This window comes from Homo sapiens, chromosome 5 (genome assembly GCF_000001405.40).
Source record: "Homo sapiens chromosome 5, GRCh38.p14 Primary Assembly".
Taxonomy (NCBI): domain Eukaryota; kingdom Metazoa; phylum Chordata; class Mammalia; order Primates; family Hominidae; genus Homo; species Homo sapiens.
Window position 1 is genome coordinate 152,719,979 of NC_000005.10, and position 18,224 is coordinate 152,738,202.

General features: G+C 37.3%; 2 long non-coding RNA genes across 2 annotated transcripts in view; one reads left to right on the forward strand and one right to left on the reverse strand.

The window, feature by feature from the left end:
• LINC01470 (long intergenic non-protein coding RNA 1470) overlaps positions 1 to 18,224 on the reverse strand; it is a 353,385-nt gene that overhangs the window by 101,014 nt on the left and 234,147 nt on the right. The window lies entirely within an intron of this gene.
• Positions 383 to 8,667, forward strand: LOC124901117 (uncharacterized). The gene is made up of 2 exons (XR_007059009.1): positions 383 to 650; positions 2,494 to 8,667. It is a non-coding gene; the product is annotated as an uncharacterized LOC124901117 (long non-coding RNA).

Below are 18,224 nucleotides of genomic sequence, written 5' to 3' on the forward strand. Positions count from 1 at the left end.
ACTGGAAATTAAGGTTACTAAGAGTTAAATTGTTATTAATGTAAGTTACAGTGAGTTCCTCTTCAAAGGTTTAATTTGTTCAACTTTCTTGTTCTTTGTTCCTATAAAGAACTCCCTTGTACCTCCTCGTCCCTAGTTACCAGCTTAGTTACCTGGTTTGTAAACAACTCTTCCTACCAGTCCTGACCTGTAACTCACATCCCCCTTTCCTTCCTTATTTGGGAAAATATTCACAAATAGCCATTTGGGTCAGCTTAGATTGTGCAGTCTGACCCCAGCCCATGGGGGGAGTGACACACAGGTAGGGACTGCTTTGGGGATAAAAACCCCTTCCCTCTTTTCTTTGGGGTGCTCTAGGAGTAGCCAAAACTATGAGCAGCACCCATCTGCAGAAGTAAACTTTGCCTTGCTGAGAAATTCTCTGTTTGAGTGCTTGTTCTCTTGGTGACTCTAACCTCTTATTTCCAACAACCTAGGGCTTCGTCTGGGATCCCATTCTCCTCCGGGATCCCCTCTCATGAGGAGACACGTTCCGCTGCCTCACTGTGGCAGCCTTGGGGGTAAGGAATTGAGACCCACCGAGTTTGACAAATAAACCCGGACTCTCAGCAATGCAGGATGAAAAGGCCTACAGATACCACAATGACCAGGTAACTTTGTGCATAAACCAAGGTAAGAAAAACCACAGGGGCAGTGAAGTACTTCCTTGGTGGTCAGGACATCCTGGTGGTTGAATATGTGTGAATGAGATGCACAATTGAGTATGAAGTGAAAGCAGGGTAGTGCTGGAAACCTCCACTGGCAGAGAGGGGGTGGAGGAGTTAAGCCTGCAGGGAAAGGGTGCAAGAAATCTCTAGTAGGAGAGGTTCAGCCCCACAGAGCCTCCAGGGCAAAGGGTGCAAGAAATCTCTAGTAGAGAGGTTGAGCCCTACAGACCCAGAAAACTCAGGGAAACACCTAAAACTTTCAGGATGGGAAATATCTCAAGCAAGGCAGAAAATAAAAAGTACAAGAGAGACAATAAAATTCCCTCCGATAGTCCAGTGAGGAAATAAAGAGACCTAAGGGAAATGATAATTAAAGGAATTAGAGAATTGGTGCCCCACACCCAGAATATTACCAAAGCCTTTAATATAAAGTGGAGAAAGGATAAAGGACCTATGGGGTACTTAGGTAGGCTTAAAGAGCAAATGAGAAAGTATGCTGGCCCAGAATTAGAAGAATCCCTGGGACAAGAGATGTTAAAACTCCACTTTGTCACCAATAGTTGGCCAGATATTACAAGGAAATTACAGAAGATAGAAAATTGGAAAGACCGTCCCATAGAGGAACTTTTAAGAGAGGCCCAAAAGGTATATGTACGAAGGGATGAGGAAAGGCAGAAGCAAAAGGCAAAAATTATGCTGTCCACCCTACAACAGGGGACTCTTCAACAGGGAGCCCAGGGAGATAGAACCTGTAAGCCTTCCAAATACCTGGCTGTCAGACCCTACACAGGAGGCAAAGGAATCAAGACGGAAGGCCAGGAAATAAAAAGAGGAAAAGGGCAAAACAAATATTTCAAATGTGGAAAAACAGGTCACTTTAAAAGAGAATGCCCTAAGTGGGAAAAAGACAAGGAAGTCATCCCACTTACGGCTTTTGAGGAAGAATAGGGGGCTCTGTCTTTTCTATCTTGAATCCCACCAAGAGCTTTTGATAAATTTAGAGGTGGGACCCAACTCCAAGCTTATTACTTTTTTTTAATCGACTCAGGGGCGGCTCACTCCTCTGTTTGTCATTCCCCACCTGGTGTAATTTGTTCACAAGAAGAACTCTTTATTTCAGGAGTGAAGGGAGAACAATTTAAAGCAAAAATTATAGAGGAAACAAAAGTCATATACAAAAATAAATCAGCTAACATAAAATTTTTGTTAATACCAGAGGCAGGAACTAACTTACTAGGAAGAGATTTAATGCTAGAATTAGGTTTAGGCCCCTATGTTAACCAGAGAAAAGTTCTCAACTCCCTAAACTTACTCACTACTTAGATGAAGAGTATATCCATCCTAGTATCTGGTCAAGGGAAGGCAATCGAGGAAAGCTACTGGCTCTTCTAATCCATGTCAAATTAAAAACTCCTGGGGAAGTAGTAAAAAGAAAACCAAAACCTACTCCTTTAAAAGCTAGAATAGGTTTAAAACCTATAATTGAAAGACTTGTCCATGATGGACTCCTTGAACCCCGTATGTCCTCTTATAACACTCCCATATTGCCTGTAAGGAAACCAGATGGGTCATATTGGTTAGTACAAGACCTAAGGGCTATTAATCAAATAGTTCAAACCACCCATGCTGTTGTTCCCAATCCTTACACTCTTATAAGTAGGATCCCACACAACCACCAATGGTTCTACGGGTTAAATTCTACTACTAACCTTCCTACATTTGAAACAAAAGATCAGTTCCTTAAAAACTATATATTTGGTCTGTCTTCCACCTTTTCCTCCCTTAGGACTCAAGGTCTTCTAGCACAGACTCCACCCCTCGAATTTCCAGTTCACCAGCGCCAACCTGGAGATTACGTCCTTGTCAAAAGCTGGAAAGAGGGAATGCTTGAGCCCTCCTGGGAAGGACCTTACCTGGTGCTCCTCACAACTGAGACTGCAGTCCAAACTGCTGAAAAGGGGTGGACGCATCATATGCGAGTCAAAAAGGCATCGCCCTCTCCAAAGCCATGGACCATTGTCCCAGGGCCAACTCCCACCAGAGTAATGTTAAAAAGAAAATATTAATCTGTTTCTTCCTCCTTTTCCTCTTCTCCCCAGCTGTCTCACATCTTATTCCAAAGCCAAAGAAAGCTAGCCTCTTCAGAAAAGTACTCCCGCACCAAATGAGCACAGGGCAGTCATTGGAAGTTCTGTTTTGGTTGGGGAGATGTGGTCTGAACAATCAAGTATCAAGGCTGGACCTCCCCAGGAGGAGGTTGCACTAACCTAAACCCTTACATCCACTTTACAAAAAAGACAACTCCCTCTAATTGTCAACTCCAACAATGTAACCCTGTGCAAATCTCTATTACTGTCACCACCTCTACCAACACTAACCCCACTGTAGGTTGCTTCTATGGCATAGGAGCTGATGTTCCTGGAATAGACCCTATAGGATCCTTTGAAATGCACTTCATTACTCCTCCACCCTCTTCCCTTCCTCCACCTTCTAAACCTTATTCCAATCAAACAGCTGTTCTTTACATACCCAACGACGAAACTATAGTAAACATTGTAGAAGTTAAGGATTTAAAAGAAACCCTAGCCATAGAAACTGGGTATCAAGATGTAAATGCCTGGCTGGAATAGATTAAATATTCTGTTCACACCCTAAATAAGAGTTATTGTTACGCTTGTGCCACAGGCAGGCCAGAAACCCAAATTGTTCGCTTTCCACTTGGATGGTTCTCCAACCAACAGAGTATGAGTTGTATGGTAGCTCTCTTCCAAGACCCTGCAGCTTGGGGCAGTAAGGCATGCTGAACTCTCTCGCTGCTATTCTTGGAAGTTTAAGGCCCTGTAGGTCAGCCCCCAAGGGCCTTCCGGCCTCTGGTTAGCAATGTCAGTTTTACCTTGTGTCTCTCATGACAAAGGGAAAATTTAGCATTCCTTGGAAGCCTAATGGGATGCAGTGAGTCCAAGCCTTTTCAGGAGCTAACCAATCTGTCTGCCCTTGTTCATCCCCTGGCGGATGTATGGTGGTATTGCGGTGGACCACTGTTGGGTACTCTGCCAAGTAACTGGAGCGGCACTTGCACTGTAGTCCAATTGGCCATTCCTTTTACGCTGGCATTTCATCAACCAAACAAACAGAAAGGAAAATTGCAAAAAATGGAAGGTGCCCCTCATGGGTCTTTTGAACCTGGCATTTATATAGGTGCCATCGGAGTTCCATGAGGGGTACCAAATGAATTTAAAGCTCGAAATCAAGTAGCTGCAGGATTTGAATCTGCATTATTCTGGTGGTCTACTATAAACAAAAATGTAAATTGGATAAATTACATTTACTATAATTGACAGCAATTTGTCAATTACATAAGAGATGCCATTAAAGGAATAGCTGAACAATTAGGCCCTACCAGCCAAATGGCCTGGGAAAATAGAAGAGCCCTTGACATGATATTAGCTGAAAAAGGTACAGTATATGTCATAATTAGGACCCAATGCTGTACTTTCATCCATAATAACACCACCCCCTATGGAACCATAACAAAGGCTCTACAAAGTCTTACTATCTTAGCCAATGAGTTAGGTAAGGTATTCTGAAAATTACAGAATAAACAACCTCTTCACTAATTTAATGGGAAAATGGCTTGGCAAATGAAAGGGACTCACTCATGACCTCAGTCCTCACCTCCCTTACAACTGTAATAGCTGTACTTATTCTTGTAGGGTGCTGCATTATACCCTGTGTCTGCGGATTGGTGCAAAAACTTATTGAAACAGCTCTCACTAAAACCTTCTCCAATTCTCCCCCACCATATTTAGATAAGCTGTTACTCTTAGAAAATCAAGAAGAACAACAAAGCCAAAATATGTTAGACAAATTTGAAAAGGAAGAATTATAAAAATCAAAGGTGGGGGAAATTGCAAGGTACAGTGAGTTCCTCTTCAAAGGTTTAGCTTGTTCAACTTCTTTGTTCTTTGTTCCTAAAAACAACTCCCTTGTACCTCCTTGCCCCTAGTTACCTGCTTAGTTAACTGCTTTGTAAACAACTCTTCCCGCCAGCCTCGACCTGTAACTTATATCCCCCTTCCCTTTCTTATTTGGGAAAATATTCACAAACAGCCAATCGGGTCAGCTTAGATTGTGTGGTCTGACCCCAGCCCATGTGGGGAGTGACACAGAGGTAGGGACTGCATTAGGGATAAAAACTCCTCTCTTTTCTTTGGGGTGCTCTAGGAGTAGCCAAAACTATGAGCAGCACCCTTCTGCAGAAGTACATTTTGCCTTGCTGAGAAGTTCTCTGTTTGAGTGCTCGTTCTCTTGGCGACTCTGACCTTTTATTTCCAATATTAATATGGTTAGCATTAATGTGTGTGATTAAAACTACACACATTAATGTAAAACTACTACATTAATGTGTGTGATTAAAACTACTAAAACTACATTAATGTGTGTGATTAAAACTACTAAATAAGATAAATAATTTCATCTGCAAAGGGTACAAGAAAAACAAGATATATTTTTGGGAAGAAAGATTATAAAGAAGATATAAAAATGTGATTTTTGTTAAAAGAAAAAAATTTCCCATTTTAGAGATGACTTAAATATTGTTTTAAAATGAAGGAATAAATTTAAAAAATAGAGATAAAACTAAATGAATATTGAAAGCTAAAATGTAAAAGAAAATCTTGTGTGGTTAAACTGACTCAGGTTAAATGAATGTATTATAAGTGTTTTCAAAATTGAGCCTTAATATCAAAAGTATACCAATATAAAACTAAAATTCAGTTTTCTCTTTTAAATAATATCTTTTTGTAGTAATAATAAGAGAGCAAAAGACTTTCATTCACCTTTTGAGTGAACTACAAAAAACAAAAAAGGGGTAGGGGAGAGAAAGGGAAAAAGATTTTGTGTGTTTTCTGCTGTCTTTATTAGGTCTTTTGATTATTTGGAAAATTGAGTGTCTATCAAACAGTGAAGGTTTTTTCTTTCTCAAATCTTTTGGTTATTATTTTGGCTAAATGAAGAATTATTATCATGGCCTGTGATCCTATTTTGATCAATTATTTTAAACCTCTGACATATTTGACTGACTTTCCAAAATCAAAATTCAAAATCAAAATGAAGTCTTTTTGACCTCAAACTAACTTTGGATGTCCCAGAGGGCCCCTGAAGCATCTAAAAAAGAGAAAATAAAATAAACAAAGATAATAAATGAAGGCATATCTGATATGTTAAATTACACAAGTAGCACTGTCTTGTAACAGGAAAGAATGTTTAACCTTTTTTTTGAATTATGTTTCTATGGATATGCTATTAATACATGTTCCAAACTTGTATGAGATTCCTAAAATTCTGATATGTCTTGATGTATATTATCAGTCATAATTATTACTATTATATAAAATTATTACAGGCCACAGGAATAACCAAATTTCCTTGTCAATCGCATCTTTAACCATGACTGTTTTAAGTCTACTTGTACACAGTAAATTGCTTAATCTGATGCTTTTTTGGAAAGCTCTTTATAAGCTATTATAATCCTAAAGAGTTGTGCTTTCAAGGAGGTTCATGGAAGGGACTCTGAAAGTACAAATGTCTGATAACTTTAAGATTATACTGTTGGACTGGATAAAAAAACCTCAGAACTCTAATGAAAAAAAAATTGGTTCATAATACTGCTAACCCAAGCAGAGAAGAATTAAATTATGAGGAAATACATTGGCTAAGTCAGCCGGTACTGAAAATGTTAAAATATGCAATTTGAATGATCTCCTTGATCCAAGTCAAATTACCTATAATAATTAATTTAATAAACAGTGCTATGCACTGGAATTGGAGAAACAAAATTGGTATTTCAGAGGATATAAATTCAATATGAAATGTGTACTCACAGAGGGCCTGAACAGCTGCCTAGTCCTTCCTGCTTCCTTAACACCTCCATTATTAAAACTCTACACTCCATGACTCATCATGGAATAGATGATTGAAATAATGAAAAAAAAATGTGTGGAGACTTTTCTAAAATTGCTAAAATGATTTATGATCAATGTTTTATTTGTCAAATCCATAATCCTGGAAAGATAATCAAAACTTTGGGTACATTTCTGCTACCTGATGGGCTATATGAACATTTCTAGATGGATTTTTCATTCAATTGCCATTTTCAGTCTGTGTTTTCTGGTTGTATACAAGCTTTTTAACGCAAGAAGACCAATGCTATAACCATAGCTAAAGGTTATTAGAAAATGTGTTTTCTCCAGGGGTATACCTGGGGAAATCCCCAGTGATAGAGGTTCTTGTTTCACTGGATGAGTTGTAAAACAGTTAGCTAAGTTATTACAGACACAATAGCATTAAGCAAAACTAATTGAATCCACTGGATTGCCTTGATCAAAGGCATTGCAAATTGATGACAGTCATTTCTACTTCCAATTGAAAATATAAGTTGACCCCTTATGAAATAGTCACTGGAAAGGCCTGTGCTCCTAATAATAGAACCTAATGTACCTCCGCTCTCCTAAACTCTAGTGTGACTAAATACTGCATGGCTTTATGGTTGTACACCAAAGTATATTTTTGCCAGCTAAAGGAAGTTTTTCATGATCCACCAGCTGAGGACAATAAAACTCTTTACAGTCTAAAACCCAGAGATTAGGTCTTCTGGAAGTGTCATCAGAGAAAGAAAGACTGCCCTTGCCACCAACGCTGCAGCAAAACTTTGGGACCTCAAACCTTGGGTCCACATTTTGTAGCTCAAAAGTACCTCTTTATACTCTTGGACATGGTACACCCATGTGGATCCTAAGGTAAAACTCACCAGGAAAGTTTCTGCTCAGAAGCAGACAGTATCCTAGACATGGACAGCTTTCCCAGGATTCTGGGTCAATAGTTTTCTGTCATCATGAAACTCTTATCTTTTTCTTATTTATATATACCTCTTTCGCTCAGCAGGATAATGCTGTAATTAGATTTCCACAATCAGTACCTTCTGTGGGTAACTTTACGGAGCATTTAATATGTCATGCCAAACACAGACTTTACATGACCTAATGGATCCCGTAGTTCACACAGGGGGTAACTAGACCCACATTTTCTCATTCCTTTTTTTAATTTAACTCAGTAATGGGATACAAGGACCGGGACCAACACAAGACAGGTTTGCACCAAAAGCCTAGGAGGAGTTTCTTGCAAACTGACTTATGTGCTAGGGTACTACAGTATTCTTTCAACCTGTAATAATTCTACCTCAGACCCTTGGCTAGAAACTGCTAATTTCACCATTCCAAGTAATGTATCCATAAACAATGGAATCAGAAAAGGGGTCTTTGTACGCATACATGGGGTTTACTTTTATTTGTGGAGAATTTTGCAGACGACCCTATACATGGACAAACTTATACCCTGATTAATGGAAGATAAAGGGCCAATGTGGGCTAGAAAATTTAATAGTTCCTTTGTTGCTTCATAGTCAGAAACAGAATATTGATCCAATCCTCCTAACCTACACTGTAAGTAAGTTAAAAAGAACATTGCTGGCCAGTCATGGTAGTTCACACCTGTAATCCAAGCACTTTGGGAGGCCGAGGCGACAGATCATTTGAAGTCAGGAGTTTGAGACCAGCCTGGCCAACATGGTGAAACCCTGTCTCTACTAAGAATACAAAAATGCATGGCTGTAATCCCAGCTACTCGGGAGGCTGAGGCAGGAGAATCACTTGAACCTGGGAGGTGGCGGTTGCAGTGAGCCAAGATCGCACCACTGCACTCCAGCTTAGGTGACAGATGGAGATTGTGTCTCAAAACAAAAACAAAAACAAAAAACATTGTCAAGAGGCCTTTACCCTTCTGGATCAACATCATTTGTTAAGGCTGCTTTTTCATGGCCTGGAATGAATATAAACAAGGCAATGGTGGCAATGGTTAGATATTTATTCCCCAAAATAAACTCTACAGCAGATTTTACTACAAAGGCTCTGGTTGCACAGTAGACTTATTCTCTTGCTAAAGTTGCACTACATAATAGAATTACCCTAGCTTACCTACTGGCAGAATAGCGAAGGATCTGTGCAGTTGTTGACACTTCTTGTTGCACGTGGATGAATACAGTGGGTATTATAGAGACTCAGTTGCAAGGGATTAACAGACAAGATGCTTATTTAAAATGAATAGAATTCCTCCAGCTGATTCTTTAATGCATTTTAGTTGTGTTCGTTCATGGGAATCCCGGCGAAGAAGCACAATTCAGACTCGTGGTATTGTCTTTCTGATAGTTATAATAGTCTCCCTGATTTACAGTTTCTCTCAAAAGTTTTATTTTTTATTTTTGTTGAGATGGAGTTTCGCTCTTGTTGCCCAGGCTGGGGTGCAGCGGTGCAATCTCAACTCACTGCAACCTCTGCCTTCTAGGTTCAAGCAATCCTCCTGCCTCAGCCTCCTGAGTAGCTGGGATTACAGGTGCCTGCCACCATGCTTGGCTAATTTTTTGTATTTTTAGTAGAGATGGGGTTTTACCATGTTAGCCAGGCTGGTCTTGAACTCCTGACCTCAGGTGATCCACCCACCTTGGTCTCCCAAAGTGCTGGGATTACAGGCATGAGCCACCACGCCCAGCCTCTAAAGTTTTAAATAGTTGCATGCAGCCATCTGTAGAACATTAAATGGACCCTCTTTGACTGGAATAGAAAATCTCAAAGAAAAGCATGATTATGAGGACAACATAACCTATGAATGGCGTATTTAAACCAGAAAACTAAAAATGATGGTAACTGAGAAGAGTAGCACTCATGTCCTAAGGTTTGGTCACACTCTCACTTAGGTAAGAACCTGATCAAAAAGGGGAAATTGCTACGCAGAATTATGGGAGGGCAATGTTTTTGACTGAGCTCCTGCCCTAGGCCCCATCAGACCAGAACAAACTAAAATAGAATCACTCAGGCCAAATGCCATATAATCAAAACAAAACTTTAAGCAAAGAGATACAGGCCGGCCGCGGTGGCTCACGCCTGTAATCCCAGCACTTTGGGAGGCCGAGGCGGGCGGATCACGAGGTCAGGAGATCGAGACCATCCCAGCTAAAACGGTGAAACCCCGTCTCTACTAAAAATACAAAAAATTAGCCGGGCGTAGTGGCGGGCGCCTGTAGTCCCAGCTACTTGGGAGGCTGAGGCAGGAGAATGGCGTGAACCCGGGAGGCGGAGCTTGCAGTGAGCCGAGATCCCGCCACTGCACTCCAGCCTGGGCGACAGAGCGAGACTCCGTCTCAAAAAAAAAAAAAAAAAAAAGAGATACAAAAACCAGTTTTTCCCCCCACCCCTTCTGAAGGCAACAGATTCTGGTACATTAAGATCCCTTTAGTTCTAACCCTTACAAAAAACTAAACTGAAGTAACTTGATGTTAACCAGGCATTTTTTTTCTATTGTTCTGTTTCTTTGTTCACACCTTACAAAACCCATTGCTATTTTCTAGTGGGATTTGAGACCACGTAAGTCTATTTACAGTGGTGACAGAGTTATGTGAATGCCTAAAGTTTTGTTCAATTTCTCAAAATTGAGAGGCTGACCAAAAGGGAAGATTGTTAAACTTTGGGTCGGTTTGGCCTAAAGCTGACTTGTTATATATTTTAAGTTTGGCTGAAAGGTTCCTCTGTACATAATGAACTATAACTTGACATGTAAACCACCTGTAACCTACCATGCAACAAGTAGCAGAGTCTCAGCGAATTACTGCGGTCAAAGTTCCATTAACCACAGTTAGTCAACTGTTCAAACTAGGTTCAAATAAGGCAATATCCAGCTGTAATCAATTCAGCTGTTTCTGTACCTCCCTTCTATTTTCTGTATGCCACTTCCCTTTCCTTGTCCATAAATTTTATCTGACCATGAGGCAGTCCTGGAGTTGCTCTGAACACCTATTATAGTTCTGGGGGCTGCCTGATTTGCAAATCATCCTCTGCTCAATTAAACTTTGTTAAATTTTATTTGTTTAAAGTATATTTTTAACACTAGCTTCTCATCCAGGGAGGCCTACCTTCTTTCTCAATCCTGAGCTAAACAAGAAATAAAAACATGCTCTTAAAGTCCAAACAGACTTCTAGAGAGTTTCATTAATTAATACTGACTCATTTGGTAGAAATGTACTAGTCCCCCTACCCACAATTTTGTTTTCTGCAGTTTTATTTACTCTCAGTCAACCGTGGTCCAAGAATATTATAGTACTTTGAGAAAGAATATGTAAGAGACTGTGAATACACATATTTTCATAACTTTTATTATGGTATATTGTTTTAACTGTTCTATTGTATTATTAATTACTTACTGTGCCTAATTTATAAATTAGGCTTTATCATAGTTATGTATGTATAGGAAAATACATTTATTATAAGTCAAATTCTATATGATTTGGGGTTCTGGGCATCTACTGGGAGTCTTGGAATGTATCCCCTTGGATAAGGAGGGATTACTGTGCTACAGTGTGCACTGAATTTTTTGCAATAGTTTTCAATTTTTTGTCTATTTTCCTCTCCTCTTAACACTGTCACTCTCTTCTAAGTAGTTGAATTTGCTTATTAACAACTGCATGTACCCTGTTTGACAGGTGGTACCTTCCTCCATTTGTATTGCACTTCTCTCTACCCAATGCTAAACCTAATCCTATTTGTACTTCGAAATTCATGTTTTCAAGAGTCACCTATATTCTTTGGACCTTCCTTATGTATTCTTAATATCTATATGTGCCTTTCTTATTTTAAGTACAAGGAGTACACAAAGCAGCATAAGTAAACTGTGTTGAGTATAGGAGGGAGAATGGAGTACAGAGGACAAAAAGAACAAACTTAATTAGAAAAAGAAAGCCTGGGCTTTGTGTTTTTTATTTTTTTCCTTGAGTCTGAAACAAACTTCGTGAACTTGAGGCAATTGCTTTGTGCCTGTTTTTTCATATATAAAATATAGCTGACAATGCCTGCCTTGGTCCTTCATGGAATAGCTGTTAAGAAAAATGTATGGATATATGGTGAAATGGGTACAAGAAGTAAAATCACTATGAAGAGTTTTAAATTACATTTTTTATGTCCATATTAAACTTTTTTGGATATACAGTTTTACTTTAAAGTTCATACAGGTCATTTTTCAGTCAATACCTTAGAATGTAGAATGTATTTTCCCGTGAATATAATTTTGAAATTTTGGTTCTGATAAAAGCCTGTTTAAACTGTATTAGAAATACCACATATATACACATAGCATATATGCATGCATACATATATATGTATATAACATATTTAGGTATATAACATGATCTATATAGCAAAATGATAGAAAATATTGTTAGTAGGTACTAGAAATGGAAGTTGATAAAACAATAACCTTTATTCAAAATGATATTTCTTAAAAAAAACTGATTACTGGTACTTGAAGAAAAGTGGATGTAATTAGAGGAGTGCAAGATGTAGATACCTTTTGCAGATATTCTAAAGGAGATTTATGAACACTTAAAATCATTTTAGAAATTTAGAGCCCAAATTCTTAAGACACTGTGATTTCAGAACTTTCTTAATATAAGCGAATAATTATTAACAATAATCTTTCTTGTTGTCTTGAAGAAAAATAGCAAAGAAGAGAGAGGGAGGTGTTTTCTAACACATTGATGAGAAGTGGAAGAAGAAAAAAAGGTTTAAAAATAATAGCTGCCACTTACTGAGGGATTAGAATGAGCCACATAAGTGATTTGCTTGTGCTCTTTACTAATACTTGTTCCATTTGCTTGCTTGCTTTTAAGGTTGACTTTTATCAAGAAATAGTATACATCTTGTTTCAAATGCAGAAATCATGAGTTTACCTTGTAAATTTTCAAAATTTGAACACACACACGTGGTGTGGAACAAACAACCTGATCAAGAAACAGAAAATTACAAAGAGAAGCTACTCACATGTACCCATCTCACTTCTAACCCCATGCCATGGATAAGCACTGTCCTGACTTCTGAAACTATAGGTAATTTGGGTTTATTTAAAACATTATATGAATGCCAAGATATAACATACGTTCTTTTGTGTCTTTTTGGCCATTTTGTGATAGTTATCACTGATATTGTACATAGTTGCAATACATTCACTTTTACTGCTGTAGAAATGTAGCCTCTGATGAAATGTCTGTCAAGTCTTCTTTTTTATATCTTAGCATTTGCAAAATTATGATATTGCTATTTTATAAATGTTATATTTTTAATTTTTGTGAGTACATGGTAGGTATATATATTTATGGGGTACATTAGATATTTGTCTTTTTATTATTTTTAATGTACATTAAAATTTTACTTGATTTATAATTTTTATATATATATTCATGTGTATATATATGATCACACATACATATATATATATTTTTTCCCTACTCCATGGTATATATTTTCATTTTGCTTCTGGTATTATCACACTTAAGAAAGCAGAAAGTTTTCTTTATATTGGTGTTTATTTTATTATGTTTTTATTTTGTGTATTACCTTAATTAAAAAGTAGAACTTTTCATTTTCATTTTATCTATGCTTTGTGCAATTGTTTCCTGCTTAAAAAAATGTTGTCTACCTCAAAGTTATGAAGATATTTTGCCATATATCCTTTAGAAGTTTACTTGATTAATTTAGTTTTTCTCATTTAGATGAGCAATCATCTGGAATGGATTTGTGTGCATAGTGTGAAATCTATGGCTATGGTTTATATTTTTTCATATTAGAACTTGTATTTTATATTGTTGAATTAACATATTAGCACAAAGTTGATGGCTGAAAACAACAAAATTTATTATCTTACAATGTTCTAGGTTAGAAGTCTATCAGAGGTCTTGTCCAGCTAAAATAAAGTTTTTGGCAAGCAAGGCTATGTTCCTTTCTGGAGGCTCTAGGGGAGAACACATTTTCTTGTCTTTTCCACCTCTAGAGGCCATGTTTACTCTTTGGCTCATAGCTCCTTCATCTTAAAGCCAGCATCAATGGGTCAAGTTCTGTGTAGCATTGTTTTTCTGTTAGTTGCATCTCTCTCTGACTCTGACCTTTTCTCTCTAGGTAGATTTAAAGTTTTCTGATTGGCAACTGGTTGAAAGAGCTATTATCTAAAGGTCTGGAATCAAATAGAAAATCATATCTGGGTTACAATAGGAATTATGGAGATCAAGGTTTTATCATGCAGGTGAAGCCTTCAGGTAGCAGGCTTCAGAGAGAATAGATTGTAAATGTTTCTAACCATACCTAAAGAGTCTGTTCTGTCAGTCTTAAAGTCTCTGTATTGATATTTGTGAGGCATGTCTGATTCCCACTTCCCATCATGGCCTGAACTAGTCATTCAGGATAATCTGGGGAGGGGAGGGTGCATCAGCCAGTTTGGGGGTTTAGAATTTTATCTTTGGCTTACATCTTTTACAGATATTTCAAATAAATGGAATCACACAATATGCAGCTTTTGTGTCTGGCTTCTGTCACTTAGAAATGATGTTTTCAAAGCTTATCCATGTTGTAGCATGTAACAGTATTTCAGTCCTTTTTAGGCCTGGATAATATTCCATTGTTTAGATATATTAATTTGCTTACTGCTTTAGCAGCTTATGGAAATTTGGTTTGTTTCTGCTTTTTGTCTTTTATGAATAATGCATCTGTGGACATTCATATACAAGTTTTTGTGTGAACATGTTTTTAACTGTCTTGAGTATATATGTAGGAGTAGAATTGCTGGTTCATATGATAATTCTACATTCAACTTTTTAAGGAACTGCCAAACAATTTACAACAGTGGCTGTCCCATTTTACATCCCTATCAACTATGTGTTAGAGTTCTAGTTTCCTCACTGATATTTGGTATCATCTGTCTTGCTGGTTATAGCCATTGTCTTAGTCTGTTTCCTGCTAATATACCAGAATGTAACAGATCTGGTAATTTATAAAGAAAATAAGTTTATTTGGCTCATGGTTCCAGAGGCTGGAAATTCCAAGAGCATGGTGCTGATACCTGGTAATGATCATCTCATGGTGGAAGTTGGCACATAAGACAGAAAAAAAGAGCCTGCTATTACTAACCCACTCCTGCAATAACAGCATTAATCCATGTATGAGGGTAGAGTTCTCATGGCATAATAACCTCCCAAAGGCAGCACCTCTTAACACTAATTTAATAGCAATTAAATCTCATCATGAGTTTTAGCAAAGACATTCACGTCATAGTAGCCATCCTAGTGGATGTGAAGTGATATCTCATTGTGGTTTTGATTTGCATTTCCCTAATGACTAATGATGTTGAGCTTATTTTTATGTATGGACTGGCAATTTGTGTATATTCTCTGAAGAAATGTCTATTTAAATCCTTTAACCATTTTTTTAAGTGGACAGTTTGCTCTTTCACTATTGAGTTGGAAGAGTTCTTTATGTATTCTAAATACAAGTCCCTAATCAGATATATGATTTCCAAGTATTTTCTCCCAATCTGTCCAAGTATTTTCTCCCAATCTGTGGGTTTTTAAAAATTTATTTTTAATTGAGAAATAATAATGTTCATTTATGCAACACAGTGTGATGTTTTGATCTATGTACACATTATAGAAAAAAAGTTGACCAAGCTAATTAATATATTCATCACCTCACAAACTTATTTTTTGTGTGTAGTGAGAACATTAAATATCTATTCTTTTAAAAATGTTGAAATGTGCTTTATTATTAACTGTGGTCATCATGCAGTGCAATAAGTCACTAAAGCTTATTCTAGCAAACTTTCTACCCTTTGATCAGCATCTCCCCTTTTCCTGTCACTCTCCCTCCATCCTAGCCTCTGGTAACCACCTTTCTACCCTCTGTTTCTATGAGATTAATTTTTTTAGATTCCACATATAAGAGAGATCATATGCTATGTGTCTTTCTGGGTTATTTCACTTGGCATAATATTCTCCAGTTTTATCTATGTTATCATGAATGATACAATTTTCTTCTTTTTAAAGGCTGTACAATATCCCATTGTGTGTATATGCCATATTTTCTTTATTCATTCTTCTGTTGGACTTTTAGGTTGCTCTGATATCATGACTATTGTGACTAATGCTGGAATGAACATGCTAGTGGAGCTATCTCTTTAACATACCTATTTCACTTCCTTTGGCTATGTACCCAGAAGCTGGATTGCTGGATTATACAGTGATTCTATTTATAGTTGTTTGAGAAATCTCCATACTATTTTCCAAAGTGGCTATATTTATTTGCATTCCCACTAAGACTGCACAAGGTTTCCCTTTTGCTCACATCATCACAAACATTTATTATTACTTGTATTTTTAATAATAGTCATTGTAACAGGTGTAAAGAGATAACCTTATTGTACTTCTAATTTGTATTACTCTGATGATTAGTAATGCTGAACATTTTTTTATGTCTGTTGGAAACTCATATCTCATGTTTTGAGAATTTTCTGTTCAGATCCTCTGCCCATTTTCAATTTTTTTTCTTGCTATTCAGTTGTTTGAGTTTCTTATATATTTTGGATATTGGTCCATTATCAGATGTATGATTTGAAAATATTTTCTCCCAATCCATGGGTTGTATCTTCATTCTGCCAATTATTTTCTTTGTTGTGCAAAAGTAGTTTTACTTTGATAGAGTTCCATTGTTTATTTTTGCTTTTATTGCCTGTGCTCTTGGAATCCTATTGAAGAAATCATCACACAAACGGATGTCATAGAAATTTTCCTCTACATTTTCTTCTAGAAGCTTTAGAATTTCAAGTCTTTCTTAAGTCTTTTGTTCATTTTAGTTGAGATTTTGTAATTTTGTATATGGTGTGAGATAAGGGTCCAACTTAATCCTTCTGCTGTGGGTATCCAGTTTTCCCAACACCACTTACTAAAGAGAGTCTTTCCCCCATTGTTTTCTTGGCAGCTTTCTCAAAAATCAATTGACCATATATTATTGGGTTTATTTCTGGGCTTTCTATCTTGTTCCATTGGTTGATGTGTCTGTGTTTATGCTAGTACCATGCTGTTTTAATTACAATGACTTTATATTTTGAAATCAGAAATTTTAACGTCTTTAGCTGTGTTCTTTTCTCTCAGGATTGCTTTGGCTCTTTGACGTCTTTTCTATTTCCATATGAATTTTAGGATTTAATTTTTATTCCTGTGAAAACTGATGCTGGAATTTTGATAGAAATTTCATTGAACCCGTAGATCGCTTTGAGTAACATGAACATTTTAACAATATTAATTTTTTCATGAGTATATTTCCATTTATTTGTGTCTTCAATTTCTTATACTTCTCAGTGTACAGGTTATTCACAAATTAAATTGGTAGGTGGTAGGTGGGTAACCTCCCTTTCCTCTGCTCCAATCCTGGGTGAGTGCTTGTCTTGTCTTGCCTCACTCCTCTCTGCTCTCTATGGGTCACTAATACTTCATTGATGAATCACAATATGGCTTCCCAGATAATCCTCTTGAAGAGCTAGTGTTTACTCATCACTCTATCTCCTCTCCGTGACAGTGGTATACACAAGCTGCTTCTAGTCAGCCATCTTGGCACCTCTCCCTCGATGGTGTCTTTTGATGCAGAGAAATTTAACATTTTGGGCTGAGCGCGGTGTCTCATACCTGTAATCCCAGCACTTTGGGAGGCCAAGGCGGGTGGATAACCTGAGATTAGGTGTTCGAGACCAGCCTGACCAACATGGAGAAACCCTGTCCCTACTAAAAATAGAAAATTATCTGAGCGTGGTGGCACATGTCTGTAATCCCAGCTGCTTGGGAGGGTCATGCAGGAGAATCGCTTGAAACTGGAGGCGGAGGTTGCCGTGAGCTGAGATCCCGCCATTGCACTCCAGCCTGGGCAACAAGAGTGAAACTCCGTCTCCAAAAAAAAAAAAAATTAACATTTTGATAATATTCACTGTATCAATTTTATTTCTTTAGTTGCTTAAGCTTTTGCTGTTACAACTAAGAAACTGCTGCCTAAATTACAGTAACACAGATTTATAGCTAAGTTTCCTTCTAAGAGTTTTATAGTTCTAGTTGTTTAATTTAGCCCTGTAAATTTGAGCTAATTTTTATACATAGTGTGAGGTAAAAGTCCAAATTCTTTTGCATCTGGATATTCAGTTGTCTCATTATCATGTGTTGAGAAGATGATTCTTTCCCCCATTGAATGGCTTTGGCACTATTAGAAATATTTAGTTGACCATGGATGTATGGGTTTATTTCTTAATTCTCAATTTTATTACATTGGTCACTATGCCTGTTCTTTTGGCACTACTACACTGTCTTGATTACTACAACTTTGTGGTAAGTCTTGAAATATGGAATTGTAAGTTAACATTTTCAGTGCTATTTTGGTTATCCAGGGCCCCTTGCATTTTCATATAAATTTTATTATGGTCTTGTTTACTTCTGAAAAAACAAAATTGTAGATTTAATAAGAAATTCACTGAACCTGCAGATCCAGTTGGGGAGTACTGCTACCTCAATAATATTAAATCTTCTATCCCATGTACATGAAATATCCATTTATTTAA